Raw genomic sequence first — 1,844 nt, 5'->3', positions numbered from 1 at the left:
ATTTGATTTAAGCGCTTATTTTTCAAAGCCAATTAATCAGAGCTCTTTTATATATAAACATAACACAGACACCCAACACATATAAATACAGACAGACAGAAGATTCGGCACTTGTAAGATTTTTCATTTGCCAGTTTCTTAATTGGATTACTGGCTTCAGAGTGGAGCCCTTGGAGGAAGAGGGCCAGGAAAGCATGCATTTCTGGGGCCAAATAAGCAGCAAATAAGCAGCTGAAGGCAAAGACAGATTCCCAAAATTGAGTTTGCCATTTTATACTGGATTCTGGATCCCCAAAAGGAAGGAAATACTATTGGAGAAGACAGTGCAGTGCTTTTACCATACATTTCATTTCAGGGCAACCCAAAGCCAATCAACCGTTTTGTCATCAGCCCATCCCCCATGGGGATCTTATCTCCCAGTGTGGGGTGGAGATGTTTCCTTACCTTCCAGGTGGACAATAGCGTGCTTCTCTGATCGAAGTGTGCAAAGGGTCAGGTATCCCTCCATAACTACTATTAGCCATCCCTTAAAGCATATTTCCTACCTAGTTATTACACACCAAAGCTCTGTCATAATACAAAGTTATTTCTGATACCCCCAAAACTCAAAACCGTCAGATAACACAACGTAAAAGAGAACAGAGCCTTTGATTTTGAGAGGGATCTATCCAATTTTAATTCCTGGGGTTTCATGAGGAAAATGGAGGTTTTTCCCCAAACGGGGTCTGTGGTGACTTCTCCTTTTTCCCAATGAGTCCCAGGCTACCAGAAGAGCCTGTTGTGGGTGCATTAAGAGTGGACAGACAAAGAAAGGAAATGGAGAAAAATAATTCAGTCAACTGAGAAGAAAAAACCTTTTTCCAGAAAAACAAGTTCGAAGAAGAGAAAAACATAGAGACCTTTTAAAATGCCTATAGCTTGTTTATCCACTTTTAATTAAGCTGACTTTTAACCATAGCACTCTTAAAAAAAATCCTTTAAAATTTTTTTATTACCCAACTCTAGCCATGCCAAGTGGCCAATAGTTTTGGCTTTTGAATTCTACCACAGGTAACTTCCTACATGAAATTAATCAGTTCTAACTAAGGTTATAACTTAACCAGGGACATAGGTGTCTCAAAGACATGGTAAGCAGTTTCTTTTTTTGCAAGATTTAGAATCTCCCCCAGGGTAGTTTAGAGAAAGGAAAATTCAAGACAGGAAATCAGAAGCTATTCATGATGGGGAGGAACCTCAATAAATGGCAAAGTTACATAAATTAAAAAAAACAGAAAGGAGTCTTTTCAGAAGCCAAGAATAGAAGTCAGGCCGTCATTGTCAAAAAGCAAAGCCTTGGCTGCTGAGTTATAGCAATGAGCAGTTTCTATTGCTCTTCCCAGAAGGAGCCTAGAGAAGCCAATTTGAAGCTTGCAAAGGCTTTTAACTGCCCAAGAAAATTTTTAGGGTTCACTATGACATGAACCTCAAAATTCCTGTCCTCTGGATGGTGGAAACCAAGAGAAAGTATCCCCACATGGTCAAACGGTTAAGCTCTTAAGGAAATAAAACAAGACAGAAATTTCATACGGTGTTGGTTTCAAAGACCCGTAGCAAAGTTTGTAACTCATAAGCCTAACAGGCTGGCTTGAAAAGCTGCCTTATAAGGGTCCTAAACCCACATTCTATCCTGTGATACTCCTTTCTTCATTACAGAATACAGAAAGACAAAGACAAATTCTTAGCACAAAGTACACCAGTTTTGCTACCGCCTAAGACTAGGGTCTTACAAATCCTTTTTCTTAATCAAACCTTTGCAGAGAGACAAATAGTGACATTTACCGTTTACCCAGACAGAGAGAGAGAGA

The sequence above is a fragment of the Homo sapiens genome, chromosome 2 (assembly GCF_000001405.40).
Source record: "Homo sapiens chromosome 2, GRCh38.p14 Primary Assembly".
NCBI classification, from domain to species: domain Eukaryota; kingdom Metazoa; phylum Chordata; class Mammalia; order Primates; family Hominidae; genus Homo; species Homo sapiens.
The sequence above is the reverse complement of the archived record's forward strand: the minus strand, read 5'-3'. Positions refer to the sequence as shown.